Raw genomic sequence first — 16,477 nt, 5'->3', positions numbered from 1 at the left:
TGCCAGGGTCATGACACAAAAAGCTCAGATCAGAGTTTCTACCCACCTCTCCCCTCATGTCCTGAACCCCAAACTCTGTCAGAGCCCAGAGCTGAATGTGTGGGGCTTTTACAAGGTGGAGAAACTTCTCTTATGGCCTAAGAAAGAAGGCGTAGTCTAGGGGAGATAGGGTTGACATGTTTAAGAGAGATCAGGGGAGGGAGTCCCCCATCCACCCATTGTGGGCCTGATTCTCCCTAGACCTTCCCTGTGTCTTTTGTCTTCACCCAAAAGAAGGATATGTAGGAGCTAAGTTTATCTTAAGTACAGAAGTCACTTTGAAGCAGGTAGGGTTAGCTGCTTCAAATGAGCCACCTGGGCCACCCTGCCCACACCTCAGGGCCTTCCTCTTGCCTCAGCTGGGCCACTTGACACTCTCCTGCTCCTCCGTGTCTTTTCAGGAGGAGCCTAGCTGAAATGCCTAGCTGCAGGGGCTCAGCATGAAGCTGGCCAACCTGCAGGCCTTGGGCCCAGAAATGAGCCCAGCTCCCCAGATGCCCTACCTTGGGTCAATGAGCCCTGCTGCTATCTTGCTCCAACCAGCCAGAGGCTCACAGGCAAAATGTGAGTGAGCCTGGAAACTGACCACACCCTCCCACTTGAGATACTTCTTCTCATGCCTGGTCTTCCTTTTGCCTCACTGGAGTCTCTCTCCCAGCCTCCTGCATTGATCCTTCTCCATGGCTCATCCTCTAACTGCTGGTGTGCTTCAGGCTCTGTCTTAGCAACCTTCTCTCCAACATCTACAATTTCTCTAGGTGATCACATTCCTCATGGCTTTAAATTCTGTCAATGTACTAAGGCTGACCCCCAAATGTCTCTCTCCACCCCTGGTGTCTCTCTGCAAATCCAGCTGCTTTCTTATATGTCTATAGTCATCTCAAACTTAGCAGGACCGACACAGAACTCTGCAGCTCTTCTTCCAAGGCTATACCACCCCCAGCTTCCCCATCTCAGCCAAAGACATCACCCCCCACCTCGCTGTTCACAGCAAAGCCCTACTGAGTGTTCTTGCCTTCTTCCCTTCCCTTACACATCACCACGCCCACTCCATCTGTGAGTCCTGAGGAGCCCCTGCGGACCCTGAACCATCTCCCCTCTCTCCATGTGTTAGTCCATTTTGTATTGCTATAAAGGAGTACCTGAGGCTGGGTAATTTCTAAAGAAAAGAGGTTTATTTGGCTCTCAGTTCTGCAGGTTGTAAAAGAAGCATGGCATCAGCACCTGCTTCTGGTGAGGCCTCAGGAAGCTTCCTGTCATGGCGGAAGGGGAAGGAGGAGCAAGCGTGTCACATGGCGAGGGAGGGAGCAAGAGAGAGAGGAGGAAATGCCAGGTACCTTGAAATAACCAGCCTCCAAGTGAACTAACAGAGCCAGAACTCACTCATTACCATGGGGAGGCCATGGAGCCATTCATGTGGGATCTGCCCCCATGACACAAACACCTCCCACCAGGCCCCACCTCTAACATTGAGGATCACATTTCAACATGAGATTTGGAGGGAACGAACATCCAAACTCTATCACTCTGTCGCCACCATTTTCATCATAGCCAAGCCACCATCCTCAGGACATCCAGACCCTGGAACCAACTCTATGCTTACTCCCTGTGTGGCCTTGGGCAGGTTACTTAACCTCTCAGGGCCATAGCCCCCTCATATATAAGCCGAAAAATAGTAACAATATCTCCCTTATGAGATTGTTGTGAAAACTAAGTGACGTGCATAAAACAGAACAGTGCTGGGACATAGGAACTGGTACGATGAGTATTATCACTAGTCAACTCAATGCTGGGCAACAGAAACATAATTTGCGATCCATAAATGGGAGCTATATATGGAGTTTTAAAAGTTCCACATTATTAAAAAAAACAAGTGGAATTAATTTTAATGATATATTTTATTTAACCCAATATATACAAAATTTTATCATTTAAAAATGTAATCCATATAAAAACACAAGTGAGATATTTTATTCTTTGTATTGTGCTGAGTCTGAAATCTGATATTTTATACTCACAGCACTTCAGTTGGACTAGCCACATTTCAGGTTTTTGTTTTGTTTTTTGAGATGAAGTCTTGCTCTGTCACCCAGCCTGGGGTACAGTGGCACCATCACTGCAACCTCCACCTCCCGGGTTCAAGCAGTTCTCCTGCCTCAGCCTCCCAAGTAGCTGGGATTATAGGCACACACTACCATGCCCGGCTAATTTTTATTTTTAGTGGAGATGGGGTTTCGTCATGTTGGTCAGGCTGGTCTCAAACTCCTGACCTCAAATAATCCACCCACCTCGGCCTCCCAAAGTGCTGGGATTACAGACATGAGCCACCACGCCCGACCACTTCAGGTATTCAAAAGCCACATGTGGCCAGTGGCTACTGCATTCAGCACAGGTCTAAGTAGTTGTGCTGCTTCCCTTCTTCCTGTACAGTAGTTTCTCAACCTCTGCACCGTTGACATTTTTTTTTTTTTTTTTTTTTTTTTTTTTTTGAGACGGAGTCTCGCTCTGTTGCCCAGGCCGGACTGCGGACTGCAATGGCGCAATCTCGGCTCACTGCAAGCTCCGCTTCCTGGGTTCACGCCATTCTCCTGCCTCAGCCTCCCGAGTAGCTGGGACTACAGGCGCCCGCCACCGCGCCCGGCTAATTTTTTGTATTTTTAGTAGAGACGGGGTTTCACCTTGTTAGCCAGGATGGTCTCGATCTCCTGACCTCGTGATCCACCCGCCTCGGCCTCCCAAAGTGCTGGGATTACAGGCGTGAGCCACCGCGCCCGGCCACCGTTGACATTTTGGACAAGCGGTGAAGATAAAATTTGAACCCAGAGTATATATAGAAAGAGCCACAGGCTGGAGTACAGTGACCCTGGGTTATTCTAAAAGAGCAAGGACCCGGGGGACACCAACATCTAGAGCAGAGTTTCTCAACCTCGGTATTACTGACATTTGGGTTCAGATAATTCTTTGTTGGGAGTGGAGAGCTGTCTGCCCTGTGCGTCGCAGAATGTTTAGCAGTGTCCCTGGCCTCTACCCACCAGCTGCCAGTACCACTCCTACCCTCACCCTCTGTTGACATTGCTAAAAATCCCTGGGAGTTGCGAGGATAACACCCGATTGAGAATCATTGTTCTAGAGTCGCTTCTGGGTCAGTTCCTCAAATGGCTTCTCATTGCACTGAGGAAAAAGTCCAGACCCCTCACAGTGGGTGACTGAGTCCCAAGATCTGGCCCCTGCCTCCAGAGTGCATCCCCTCTTCTCTCCTCTGCATCCCCCAGTCCTACCAGCCTCCTTGTTCAGTTCCCGGACAAGGCCACGTTCATGCCTTCAGTGCAATCTTCTCCCACCTGGTCCCTTGACTTGCCCCACTCCTCCCCTTGATGCTTACTTTGCTGATTCCTTCATATCACTCTGTTCTCAGCTTAAAGCTCAGTGGGTCTTGCCAGATACCTACCCCCCACCCCCAAATCTAACATCACCTTTCACCCACCATCCATCCTGTGTTTGAAGTCTTTGCTGTCTGATAATTTTTCTAGGTTACTATTGTCTGACTCTTTCCTCTAAGACACAAGCTCCAAGACCACAGGGACCTTAACTATCTTGATATCACTCTCTTCCCAGCATCCGAAAGAGTGCCAGGCACTGGATAGGTGTTCTCAATTCATATTTGTTGAGTTGAACCCATGCCCTTTCTGTACTGGCCTCTGGGGCTCAGGCTCAAGGTCAGCAAAGCCTTCCCCAGGCAACCATGCCAGGAACCTCCCTTGATTTTCCAGTATTTGGTCAAAGATTCGCTGCCTCTCCAATTCTGCTTGGCAGACTGCTATATACAGCAATTCAGGTTCTGCTCCATTCGATGGCACCCTAGGGAGGTGTGAGGGACTGAAATCCATGCACTGCAGGGCCATGACTGCCAAGAGAGGGCGTCTTTTATTCTAATTCACAAAAGGGGCCCCCGACAACATCCTTGCCTATCTGGCTGCCTGATGGTGCCAGCTGCCCCCTCCCAAGGGAGCTCCCCACTGCAGCAGTTGTGCCTGCTAGTGCTGAAAGCCTCTTGGTCATTTGTGGGACCCAACCTGGATGGGGGAATGCCTGGGTCTCTGCTCTGGACCTGGGGGTCTGCTGTAGGTAGGACAGCACCTCCTTCCCTTATCCTTGGTCTGTGGGTGCTGCCCTCCCTGCCCAGCTACTCACATACAGAAGCAGCAGTCTGCAGGACTCTCTACTCTCTGCACACCCTGCCTTCAACCCCATGTCCCAAGGTCAGCTCCAGCTTCTGTCTCACTCGGGGCAGGGGTGGAATGGTGGCCTCAATGCAGGAGTGGCTGTGATCTAAAACAGAACTGCCCAGCCTCCAGAGCCTGCAAGTCCTGGGAGCGGCAGAAAAAACTACAAGGGCAAAGCCATCCTGGGAGAAGAGTCCTCACCAGTGGCATGGAGTGAGAAGCAGCGGGTGGTTTGGAGCAAATGGCCCTGGAGACATTAGCTAATAAATGCCCTTGAAACATGCACCCTCCAAAGTCCTGCAGTGGCAGTGTGGGCATCTGTCTGAAGGCCATTAGCCATCAAAGCATGTCCATTCCTCAGGCCTCTGTCATCCAGGCTGGGTTCTTGTCTTAGGCCATTAGTCTGGAGGGTCAGAGACCTGGCCCCTCCCATTTGATAGATGGGGAAACTGAGGTCCACGGCTGAGTGTTCTGGGAAGCAGGGGTCACTGAGAGGGCAGTATTGGGAGGATGAGGTGGGAGGGGGCAGCTGGGGCCTCCGAGCTACTTTCCCAGGCCCCCCTGGCTCCGGCGCCCCACCCCTCCCAACTCAGCCTTTGTCTGATTTGCTCCCTGTGACAGCTGGGGAGGCTGGGCCTCACCCTGGCTCCTGCCATCAGCCATCTCTGTGTGGCACTAAAGATCTGTGCAGGAGCCAGGCCCGGCAGCAGGCTTGGCAGGCAGCTCCGCGTTGCCCGGGAGACCACGGAGGAGGAAATCTGCGCCACACGGCTACCGAGGGCCAGATGGCCAGTGGTCCCAGAGGTGCCTCTCCCAGGGGCCACAGCCGCATATACACACTACTGCAGTCCCATGGATGCTGCGGGGCAGACGAGGAAACTGAGGTGCAGGGGGTGAAGGGCAGATTCATGGCCACTGAAGGTGTGTGGCCAGGAGCTGGGGACAGAGCCCGGGCCCTGCCTCCCGCGCCGAGCCCTGATGGCCTCATGAGGCTGCAGCCAAGAACATGGTCAGAGGGGCTCATAGGTGTCTGTGGCCAGGTCTCTCAGGCCCCCACCCAGGCCCCTCTGGGAGCTAAATTTCCCTCTGGAAAGACCTCAGACTCTATCAAAGACCTCTATTAACCCTTGTCCTTGGGAGCAGCTGCCTTGTGTAGGCCCAGAGTCTGAGGAAGGCTCCCAGCTCTGGGTGCATAGGATGTAAGTGGGCAAGCACTGACAGGCAGAGGCTAGGCTCTGTGTTAGGCCCAGTGGGGAGTCAGAAAAGAAGTGCTGAGACTGGGAGGCGGGACCCATAACCAGAGAACCGAGAGCTGGCTGGGCCTTGGAGATGGGAAGTCCACGGGCTTCATTCCACACAGAAGGAAATCAGTTGTGTATTGGGTGAGGGCAGGGTGCAAGTCTCTCAGGAAGGCTGTCTCTGGCCTGGTCGTCCCTCCTTGAAGCGGGACTGGGGGAGAAAGAACAGAAAAGGGCCCACTGCAGCCTGCCTGAAGGTGTCAGGCCTCCTCAGACCTCCAGAGACCCACCCACAGGAGGGGACCCATGATCCTCAGGTGGGCATGGTTATTCCACTCAAGGTGATTCTAACATAGCCGTTCCTCAGCCCTGCTATGTCTGGGATGCAAACCTTCCAGCCCAGTGCCTAGAAATGCTGAGCAGCCCAAGGCCCTGGGGTCCGGCCCTCAGAACAACTGTGACCTGCCTCAGACAGCCCCGAGGCTGGTGGGTGACTCTACCCCTTCTTCCAAAACATGAGTCAGTGAAGAGCCCAGACCTGGGCCTGCGCAAGGGTGGGAAGGTGAGGCTGAGACTCTTAGGGCTGGGAGACGGTGGGGTGGGGCCATCAGGAAGGGATGGGGAAGATGTGGAAGTCTTCCCAGAGAAGGGGAGGGAGAGAGCACAGCCAGCCCTGTCCCCACCTTCTGTGGAACGTCTGGAAATACCCAGCAAAGCTCCAAGCCAGGATCCTGATGGGTCCCTTCCGGTATAGCAGGGGACGGCTTGAAGGTCTTCAGCTCTGGCACTCAAGCATAAATTAAACGGGGAGAGGAGTCGGGCAGCCTCTCAAGGTTCACATAACTAAGCTAAATCACTCTACAGCCCGCTCCTCTTTGGCGCAAACGGAAATCCCCCCCACCTGCTGGAGCTTGTCACGCAGGCAGGGCAGAGTCTGCTCCCTGAGAGCTCGGAGCTGCCTGCAGCCTCCCGCCCCCAGCCCCCGCCTGCTGCCTGAGCTGTCAGCCCGACTCCCAAACAGGCTGATTATCCCCATCTGGGGAAAACAAAACATGTCAGCAGCGGCGCCTGAGAAGAGGGCTGTCTTCTTAGTGAGAAGTAATCTGAGGAAAACTCCCAGCTCTGATCTACAATAGGAAGTGAGTGAGCGACCTTGCTGTTCTTGACATTGCTTTCTCCTGATACGGACACAGGCAGGCCTCCGCCAGCATCACCTCCTCTGAGAAGCCTTCTGGGCCTGGGCTGACCCTGCCCAGGCTCTCTGCAGGGTCCCCTGACCCTCCCAGGGCCCACTGTGAGATTTCAGTCAATGGTCCTCTGTGCGGCCCTAGAGCTTCAGTCTATTTCAGAATGAGACTCTGGGTCACACCGTTTGTTGCTTTGTAGGGATTTTGGAGATGGCTCTAGGCTAGAAGACTTGTGGACTCCTCCAGGAAGAATGTTCCCGTGGAATCGGGAAACCTGGGCAGGCCGTCGGGATGCAGCGCAGCTACAGATCCAGCTTGTCTCCCTTTGGGGAAAAAGATAATCGTGACTTAGACCTTCACACCGCTCACGATTTCCTGTCTCCGTGCTTCCCCATGGGTTCCCACCACCTGGGATACCCTTCAAGCTACCTGGCATGCCTACATTTCTTCTATCTTAGTTGCCCCTAAAACCCCAGTTCAAAAACAAAACCCCAACCCTCCCTAGCTGAAGGGGTCCTCCTGCCTCCAGTGAGCCTTTGCACCTCCAGCTGGCATGGTGTTCATTTGAGGAGATGTCAGCCTGGGCTGCTGTGGTCTCACCTGTCAGCCCCTGGATCCAGCCTAGGGCCAGACATGGTCAATATCCTGGAAACATGCTAAGTGAGTGAAAGTGAAAGTTTCCTCTCTCCCAGCCTGGCCTCTCTCATGGCTTCCACCTCTGTTAGCTGCTATGGCTGCCACCTCCATCTTCTCCCTAATTTATAAGGAGGATCCTTGTCATGACACTTTATCCAGGGCCCTCCTGCCCGTCCTCTTAGGGAGGGAAACTAACATTCCCTAACTCCAACATGCCTTCATCCTGCCATGTAAAATGATAAGTGTTTTACACATTTATCTAATCTAACACTCACAGCAACAATGCTGTATATTTGCTGTAATGTTACCCACCTTACAGATGCAAAAACTGAGGCTCCGAGAAGATACAGACCTGCCCAAGGTCCTTGGTGGCAGAGTGAGGCTCGGTGTTCCAACTCTCTTGTTTCTGAGACAGGGCTCTTTCCTCTGCAATAGGCCACCTCATTCAACCTTCAACCAGAGTTCCAGTGACCAAGCTTCAGACAAAGAGGGCTGCTACTGGGAGAGCCCACACACCACAGCTCCCCTCCAGGGCGGACACTCATTATTATCAGCTAACCGTTGTGAGCATTTACCATATGCTGGATACAGGGCTAAGTGTTTTGCATAAATTGACACATGATAAATTGCAGATGAGGAAACTGAGGCACAGAGAGGTTAGCAAACTTGCTGAAGCTCATAGCTATTACGTGGCAGTCCATCTTCTTAATAGCATTCAGGCTGTGTGACACAGAAAATGTGGGTCATCTGCCTTTACCCTGCAGCTACACAGAATGCCCCCACCCAATTGAGGCAGGGTGCGAGCTCCCCTTTCCACCCTGCCTGCAGCTCCTGAGGGTAGCCCCAGAGTCCACCACCCTCTCTTTCCAAACTCTCATCCTGACCATGAGCTTGTCAAGGGCAGGGGCCAAATTCAGCCTCCTTCATTTCCTCCCACAAGGGAGCAGATACCAGAGTCAAACGAAAAGGGAGCATAATGATTTTATATGTGCATTTATGATGTTTACTCTTCCTGCTTCCAGAGCAAATGTAAGGTGGTTTCGAATATTGAAATGCATAATTAGGACAATAAAATTATTCTTTAAAACAGAGCTGTTGGGATGCAATCAGTAGGCAGGAAGATGGAGTTCTAGCAGGCAGCTGGGAGGAATCAGGCTGGGATGCAAGAACTTGGGTTTTTGTCCCTGGCTGTGCCACAAACGTCCTTGTGTAAGTCACTCCTTCTTTCTTAAGTCTCAGTGTGCCTATCCATAAAACAGGCAGGCCAAATATAGAATGCAGAGGGACTGAAGTCAAGAGACAGTTTTTCAAACTCTGCTACCTGGAGCCCTAGGAGTTCATCAAGGACACTCAGTGGCTGATATGGGTAGGCAGGAATAGCAGGGTCAGTAAGTGAGCCCAGGCCTTCCACCCACACTGCGATCAGATTGACTACTTTCATCTGTTTTAATCATTTGAGCTTCTAAGATGCCCAGTCCTTTGAGCTGCTAAAAATGTTTGAGAAACCACACTGGACAAGACTTTCTTTAAAGGCCTTTCCACGTTTAAGGCCCTCTGCCTTTCTTGTTGCCAGCTTGCCTACCCCCAGCAAGCCTCGGTTCTGGGCATAGCCTGGCATTCCTGATCTTGGAAGGACGTTTGAGCGCAGGGGTAAGATATGGGCATCCCTTGGGGAGGCGGCTACAGTTCAGGGGTTCACACGTGGTGGAGGTTGTTAAAGTGGAAGCCAGAATCCCTTTCCTCTCCAGGTAGGAGCTCACTCTCTGTCCCCAAGACCCAAGACTTGGGCATTGGTCTAGGGAGCTCATATGGTTTGAATTTGTGTCACTGCCCAAATCTCATGTTGAATTGGAGGAGGGGCCTGGTGGGAGGTGATTGGATCATGGGGGTGGATTTCCCCCTTGCTGTTCTCATGATAGTGAGTGAGTTCTCAAAAGATCTGATGGTTTAAAAGTGTGTGGCATTTCCCCCTTTGCTCGCTCTCTCCTACCACCATGTGAAGAAGGTGCTTGCTTCCCCTCTGCCTTTTGCCATGATTGTAAGTTTCCTGAGGCCTCCCAGCCATGCTTCCTGTTAAGCCCGCAGAACTGTGAGTCAACTAAACCTCTTTTCTTCATAAATTACCCAGTCTCAGGTAGTTCTTGTTAGGAAAATATGAAGGAAGAGAGAAAGAAGGCAACTTGATGGCCAAACAGGTTTATTTACAAGAATAAGCCTGTGAGGGGTCCCAGTCAGGAATGTGGCTGAGACCCTGTCACTTAGAAACTGAGGTTTTTATAATAAAGTTTCTATAGGGGAGGGTTTGCGTAAGTGCTGGCAGGTTGGAACTGTTGGGGGCTGGAGAAGGATGTGGTAAGGGCCATCAGGCTCTGTTGTGGTTAGGGTTGTTATGCTCTATTAAAAGTATGGGCAAGGTTGACACCTGCTTTGTTTCTGGGAACACCGTCACCAAGGTAGAAAACACAGTCACCAATGTAGAGAAATGGCATCGCTCTTGTTAGTCCCCACATTTCTTTACAGCATTGTGAGAAGGGACGAATACAGGAGCCATAGATTTCAAGGGTCCTCCCTTACCCCTCCTCAGCCCACGTCTGCAGGGCCTCCGTGCTGCAGGCAAACATAGGCCCCTGAAGGAGATCACATCAGACATAGGCAGACAGGCACATGGTCCAAATAAGTGCCTGTCCACCAGTGGGGACTGGATGTTCCAGGCCCAGTGGCTGCAAGGATGACTCAGTCACTGCCCAGATCACCAGGTGACCCCTATATGTGCCTCAAGGAGGCTGTGCTATCAGCTCCCCACTACCAAGGGTGTAGACTCCCTCCCTCAACCTTTGCCATAGCTGTGAGCACTGATTTTTGACCACTGTGATGGGGAGGGCAACATAGAGCCATTCATGCTGCCCCAGCCAGTGCTCCTATAGCCAACTTGCTGGTGAACTTTGTCACTTCAAAGTCTGGTCTCAGCTTGAGCCTCCTCTTAAAAGTCTAATCCCCCAAGCCCAGTCATAAGCGATCCATGAAATCAGAGGTCTGAGCTGCAGCATAAAATTCAGGTTCAGTCTGAGTACTCCTGCACTCCTGGAAAGAGAAAGTTCTAAGTCCTGGGAGAGGGCAGGAATGAGGACACACTCAGGCCTGTGGTGGTCTAGTCCTCTGGCCCTGAAAGTGGGAGGAAGAGAGAAAAGTAGGTAGGAGGGCAGCTGGCCAAGACCCAGGGCAAATGCGCTGGGATAGGGTAGAGCTGCTGTGAGTCAGCTTCCCCATCCATAATCACAAGATGGGACTTTGGGGGCCTGGAGTAGTGCAGCCCCACATTCTTCCCAGGACAGCTTGGAGATCCCAGCCTACCCAAGGGGTGCTGACAATGGCAGGCCTGACTTGGCTTCTGAGACTTGGGCTTTTCCATCAGCTGCCCCCAGGAGGACTCAGAGTCCCCATGACCTCCTGGTCACTGGGCCTGCTAGCCTCATGCCTCACCTTACTCTGTCTCTGTAGCACAGGACACCTATGACCACACCCCTCAGCCTCCTTGATCCCACCCACTGCCACGCCTCCTCTGCCTCCCTGGGTAAGCCTCGCCCCTCCCCTTCAAGGAGGGTGGTCCCCAGGGTGTGGGTCCTGACCTTCTTCTCCTTCTTGCCAGTAACTCTCAGCCAACACTTGAACTAGGACACAGCACAATCTCTGTGGGACGGGGGACTATGTAATTAGAGATGTCTCCCAAGGGGGTCCAGAACTCGGGGGAGGGAGTGCAGGGCAAACCGCCCTCCAGCATCTGGAAAGACCACTTCATGCCATTGGCCCTTACCTGGCCTGAACAACAGCTTTATGTCTCAGGGGAAAAACTCTGGGCCCCCAGTTGTTCTGGAAGAGTTTTGTACCATGTCTTGTTGGGTGAGGGGTTTAGGAGCCTGCATCTTGCAGAGGAGAAGCCTGGGCCAGGCCCCCTGACTCTGGCATTTTCTTCTCCCCCAGCATCTACCTGGGACTGATGGCTGCTCTCGGGCCTTGCTGACACCCTTTGATTCGGAAGCTATTCTCTTCCTCCCTGCTCCATGTGCTGCTCATCACCCGCCTTTCTCCTGAACTGTAGGCTGAAAGCTCCAGGCCATTTTAGTCCAATTTTCTCCTCAAATAGGCAGGTGATTGTAGCATTAAGACCTAGTACATGCTGTTCAGAATCAGCAAGGAGCAATAAATGGGACAGATAATGAGAGTTGTCGGGCAGGAACTGAACCTGTCCTCTCTCCTCCCCACCATGTCCCCAGCCCTCAACACCCCCTGAGGTTTCTCTCCAGAGATCAAATTGAAAGGAGTCTCCTCAGGCACAGGGAGTCCCAGCCTCCCCAGCTGGTGAGATCCTCCATGTGGCTCTGGGCAAACTACCTGTCTTCTCTCAGCCTTAGTTTCCTCATCTGTACAATGGACATTAATACCTCCCTCAAAGGGTGAGAAATGTTTTTTAAAGCCAAGGAGGAAGCCAGTCATTGGCAACAGTCGCTGTTACAGTCCATCATCAACATGGATTCTCTCACCATCCATGGCAGGCTGTCTGAGCCAGGCTCATTCTCCTCTTTTCTGTGAATAAGGAGACAGGTGTGCAGGAGTTAAATGTGGCCTGCTGTCTCTGCATCTGTTTGAAGCACCCCAAGCAATAATAGTACATATTCGGCCAGGCGTACTGGCTCACACTTGTAATCCCAGCACTTTGGGAGGCAGAGATGGGTGGATCACCTGAGGTCAGGATTTCGAGACCAGGCTGGCCAACATGGTGAAACCCTGTCTCTACAAAAAATACAAAAATTAGCCAGGCGTGGTGGCGCATGTCTGTAATCCCAGCTACTCAGGAGGCTGAGGCAGGAGAATCGCTTGAACCCAGAAGGCAGAGGTTGCAGTGAGCTGAGATTGCACCATTGCACTCCAGCCTGGGTGACAGAGCGAGACTCCATCTCAAAATAATAATAATAATAATAATAATAATACATATTTATGCAGACCCTATGATGCCCCGGGCTCAGCACTCTACTTATATTATCTCATTCAAACATCACATCACCACCTTGAGATGGTTATTTTATTATCTCCAGCTTATAGATGGACAAACTGAGGGAGACAGCATTCAAGCTAGTTGCCCCTAGAATCATTTAGTCAGCAGCAGGCAGATATTTGAGCCCAGACAGTCTGATCTCCAATGCACACTAGGCCATGACCCCTCACAGACCACTCAATGCCCCATGACTCCAAGGACCAGACACCTGGAGAGAGAGGGAATGAACCTGGATGGCTCAGAGTGGTCACCAGCTCATGCAAACCAGGAGTCATTCCTGAAGAAGGTACACTTTAGCATTTCCTATAAACAGGGAGATTCTGTTTTGTCTGACCAAGGGTAAGGAATGGGGAGAACAAAACCCTCCCAGGCCCTCCATTGCTTCTCCCTTCTGCCTCCCTCTTGGCCTCTTTCTTTTCTCCAGGTCTCCACCCTACTCTTCCCCTCCCTCCATCCTGTTCCACCTGGAGCTGCCTCTGGCTCACACCTCCTGCTCTCTCCCTTTTGTGTTTCCCCAAATCTCCATATGTCTACCTGCCCCTCCCCCACGAAAGTGGCTTCCCCTCCCAGACAAGGGCAGAGTGTGAGAATGAGGAAAGTGTGTTGCTGCTCACTCTGGCTGCAGAGCTTACAGCACAAAAGCCAGCATGGGCAGATCTTGGGCTCAAACATCCTGGACCCCCGCCCCACCTTCTCTGGTCACTTCTGGCCAGAGGGTCCCAGCTGGCCAGAAGTGACACCCACGCCTAGCCTCTCCTCCAGGACACCTGCCCCTTCTCTCTCTCCTCTCTTCTTTCCATCTACCTTCCTCCTGCATTCATTCATTCATTCTGCAAGCACCAATCCAATGCCTATTCTGTGCCAGGTATGAGGCCTGGGCCTGGGGGTCAGAGATGAAAAGGACACAGCCCAGGCCCCGGGTGGCAGAGGAGTGGCAATTCCTCTCAGTGTGCGAAGGGCATATAGAGGCTTCCATAGAGAGGCTCACAGAGCCTGAGGAATGGGCCTGTTCTCTGGTATTTGGAAAGCCTCCTGGTGCACTTCCTGATCACCCTGAGCTGATTCATCTCTTTTGAACATGGATGTGTTGATGACCTACCTACAAGGGCATTTATGATATCTGTGCTGAGGCTTGAAGGAGGATCAGAAACTCCTGGGGATGGACCCATCTCCCACCCAATCTCTACCCCACCCCACACTCCTGTCCCCAGCCAGCACGGCTGATGCCCAGGGAGGCCAGGGGTACAAACAAGGAAGGGAAGACGCTGCTTCTGTAGCTCTCTGACTGAGGTGGAAAGAAAGCACAGAGTTCTCCCCTCCCAGCTGGGAAGCCTCCACCCATTATCCTCTCTTTCATAGCAAATTCTCCTCCACCAAGACTAGCACCAGCTTCCAGCTGGGCCCCTCACCCTGTACCCCTGCACCTCATATCTGGGCACTGACTTGGCCCTCTAGTGTCCTCACTCTGATCCATAGCCAGCTTCCTATCATCATGGCCTTGTCCTGGGTGACAGGCTAGGGTCAGGAGATGGGGGACAAGGAGGAGGAGAAAGTCCAGAGCATCACCTGGTGTCAAGTACTCCTGCCTCACATCTTCCCAGGCCCTCCCCACAGCCCCCACCGCCCCACCCCTGAATGGTCAGCTGCTCCTCCTGCTGGCATTGGTGGTGCTATGGAGGAAGTGTGGGTGAGGGTGGGGCCTTCTGACCTCCCTCCTTGTTCATGAAGTTGTAGGAAGTGGGAGACCACAGGAGCCAGGAGGGGCCCCTGGCAGATAGCAGGAGCTCTAAAGGTCCTGGGAGGTGGTGGGGGGATGAACTCAGGAGTCCCCCAGCAGCTCAGAAGTGGCTTTGGTCTTCTGCTTGAGCCCAGGTGAGAGCCAGGAGAAAAGGCTAACTCTCTTGCCCCCGCTCCTTGGAGGACCTGACTGCTCCTCGCCACAGAAAGACAACCTTATACAAGGCTCTTTATTTAACAGATGAGGAAACTAAGACCAAGAGAGGCTATATGAGGCACAGATCAAGTTCCTTGGGATGCCCCAGATGATGTGGGTCCTGTGGCTGTGGTGGGCTGTGGGGTGGGCATTGCTACCCATGATGAATGCCATCTCCTTCCCCAGGGGGGCAGAATAGAGGTGGCCCCCACTGAGTATTGCAGAAGAAGAGCCAGTGCTACCCACCTGCCAGGCCCAGAGAGTGTGCAAAGCCAGTTCCAGCAAGACTTTGCCTCCCATTACCAGCCCTCTCTCCCACCTCCCTCCTGCCCTACCCACACCCAGGAGGGGTCAGAAACTGGCTTATAAACTGGAGGGCGGCTGGAAGAGAGAAGGCCAAGGAGAACAAAGAAACTGGCCATGTCCTCACCCCCTGCCCCTTCCACTGCAGGTTCCAGCCCTGAGTCTGGCATGGGGAAAAGAAGTGCCATTAAATCAATTTCAGAATTTTAATGAACATTTTGTCTGTGACACAGGAGTGAGCAGAAAAAACATGGGACCTACCTGAGTTTTCAGCTCATAAAGCAAGCAAGGATTTCTCCCATAATACAGTTTAAAGGGCCTGTGTGGTACAAAAATAAAATATCTTTTCAATAGACCCAAACTCTGCTTGTTCTGGTGCCTGTCCCAATAAATGTGGGCTAAAATTAACATCATTCCCACACCTTTGTGGTCTCGTCTCACCCTGATGGGACACATCGCTTGTCACGTACTCACAGGAGCACATGCATTCTTGGGTCATCCTTCTGTTTATCTGCCCTGGATACCTCCAGCTGCGGCTTACTACTAACCCATCCAGTGCCTTTGGCTAAGGAGGTCTCTGCCCCACTGGGCCCCAGTTTCCCTATCTGTAGCAGGATGAGACAAATAAGACCATTTCTAAGGGCTTGGTTTATCTTAACTGTTCAAGGTAACAGCAAGGTTTCCCTCATCCATGATCTTGAGAAGGCTTGGGCCTACGTGGGCAGAGGAAGCTGGAATGAGGACTATAGTAAGGAAAAAGGCACACATCAGGGAAGTCCACATAATCTGTATTTCTGGCTTCGTCTGAGCAGTTGGACAATCTGGCAGCATTGACCCAGCATGTGACAGCAGTCAGATGCAGCGTGTAGAACAGTCCCCTCATCCAGAACCAAAGCTCTCCCCTTAACCACACTCCTCACCAATCCCCATTGCTCCCCATCCCTAACGCCAGCTGGCATCTACCACTGGACCTGAGCTGTTGCTTTAGTAGAGATTGATTACTCTATCACTGTGTCACTATCAAAGGTAGAAAATTGAACTGGAGGATGAGAGGACATGTGTGTTTTACAAAAGATAGCAAAAGGGGACTATTTCCTTGGAAAGTACAACATGTCGACCCACCACTTGCCTGGTCCTGTGCTCTTATTGGATGTCCCAGCCTGAGGCTTCTAGCAATTGAGTCAGGGTTCTCAAGCCACTCAGAGACCACCTGGCCCTGCCCTACTTGCTGCTCCCTGCTGCCCCAACAGGACTGAAGGGTCTGCACAGGTCCCCAGCCTGCTGACATTCTCTGGGGGGCTCCCTCATCCCCTTTCTTCACCCATGCTAAGACAACCTTCTCTAGACCCAGAACCTCCTGTGGCAGCAGGGGAAGCCCATGCCTCCTCCCAAAAGGAAGAACGCCTGCATGGCAGACGCGGGAGCCTCCTGGAGCCAGGCTGGGCATGTGAGACGTGGGGCACTAAGGGGCCTTCCTGGGTGAGGGTCTTTCCTGGGACCCTCACTCTTTACCCCCCGCAGATTCCCCCTTGGAGAACCAGCCGAAACTGAAATTAATTCAGCCTCCTCAGGCCCTCTCCCTTCCTCCCTCTGCTGGAGTTCCCATGACAACCAGAGTTCACCTTTGATGCCAAAAACACTGCAAAAACAACAAAACTCCACCCTCCACTAAGAGGGAAGTGGGGCAAGGCCCTTCCCCTATATCCCCCCAAAAAAGCACAGTGCTGGAAATTTGGTAATCTGCAAGGAACCAGAAGCAGAGTGGGTGGGGCAATTCCAAAGGGACTTTTCCATTTTCCCTCCTGGGCTGCACTCCATTTTCTGCATGCTCACTGGTGGCTTACAGCTGACCCAGAGCTTCTTAATAG

General features: G+C 52.4%; 1 long non-coding RNA gene across 3 annotated transcripts in view, besides 3 other annotated features; it reads right to left on the bottom strand.

Moving 5' to 3' along the window:
* Window positions 1–3,944: 3,944 nt before the first annotated feature.
* The window catches only part of LOC105375222 (uncharacterized), a 46,023-nt gene continuing 33,490 nt past the window's right edge, over window positions 3,945–16,477 (bottom strand). Inside the window, exons 3-4 of one of the 3 annotated variants that reach the window (XR_001745156.2) lie at window positions 7,676–7,773; window positions 3,945–7,010 (exon numbers count right to left, since the gene is read on the bottom strand). This is a non-coding gene — a long non-coding RNA (uncharacterized LOC105375222). The other 2 variants (XR_927160.2, XR_001745155.2) reach the window with 2 other exon arrangements.
* Window positions 5,766–6,369: an enhancer, noted in NCBI's record as "H3K4me1 hESC enhancer chr7:31067037-31067640 (GRCh37/hg19 assembly coordinates)". NCBI's record gives its function as "activates a minimal SCP1, AML or CMV promoter by ChIP-STARR-seq in naive and primed H9 embryonic stem cells {active_cell/tissue: H9 hESC(naive and primed)}" and the evidence as "EXISTENCE:reporter gene assay evidence [ECO:0000049][PMID:30033119]".
* Window positions 6,207–6,256: an enhancer, noted in NCBI's record as "active region_25822". NCBI's record gives its function as "activates an Ori minimal core promoter by ATAC-STARR-seq in GM12878 lymphoblastoid cells {active_cell/tissue: GM12878}" and the evidence as "EXISTENCE:reporter gene assay evidence [ECO:0000049][PMID:35858748]".
* Window positions 6,370–6,973: an enhancer, noted in NCBI's record as "H3K4me1 hESC enhancer chr7:31066433-31067036 (GRCh37/hg19 assembly coordinates)". NCBI's record gives its function as "activates a minimal SCP1, AML or CMV promoter by ChIP-STARR-seq in primed H9 embryonic stem cells {active_cell/tissue: H9 hESC(primed)}" and the evidence as "EXISTENCE:reporter gene assay evidence [ECO:0000049][PMID:30033119]".

Source organism: Homo sapiens, chromosome 7 (assembly GCF_000001405.40).
Source record: "Homo sapiens chromosome 7, GRCh38.p14 Primary Assembly".
Lineage (NCBI taxonomy): Eukaryota > Metazoa > Chordata > Mammalia > Primates > Hominidae > Homo > Homo sapiens.
The sequence above is the reverse complement of the archived record's forward strand: the minus strand, read 5'-3'. Positions and strand labels throughout refer to the sequence as shown.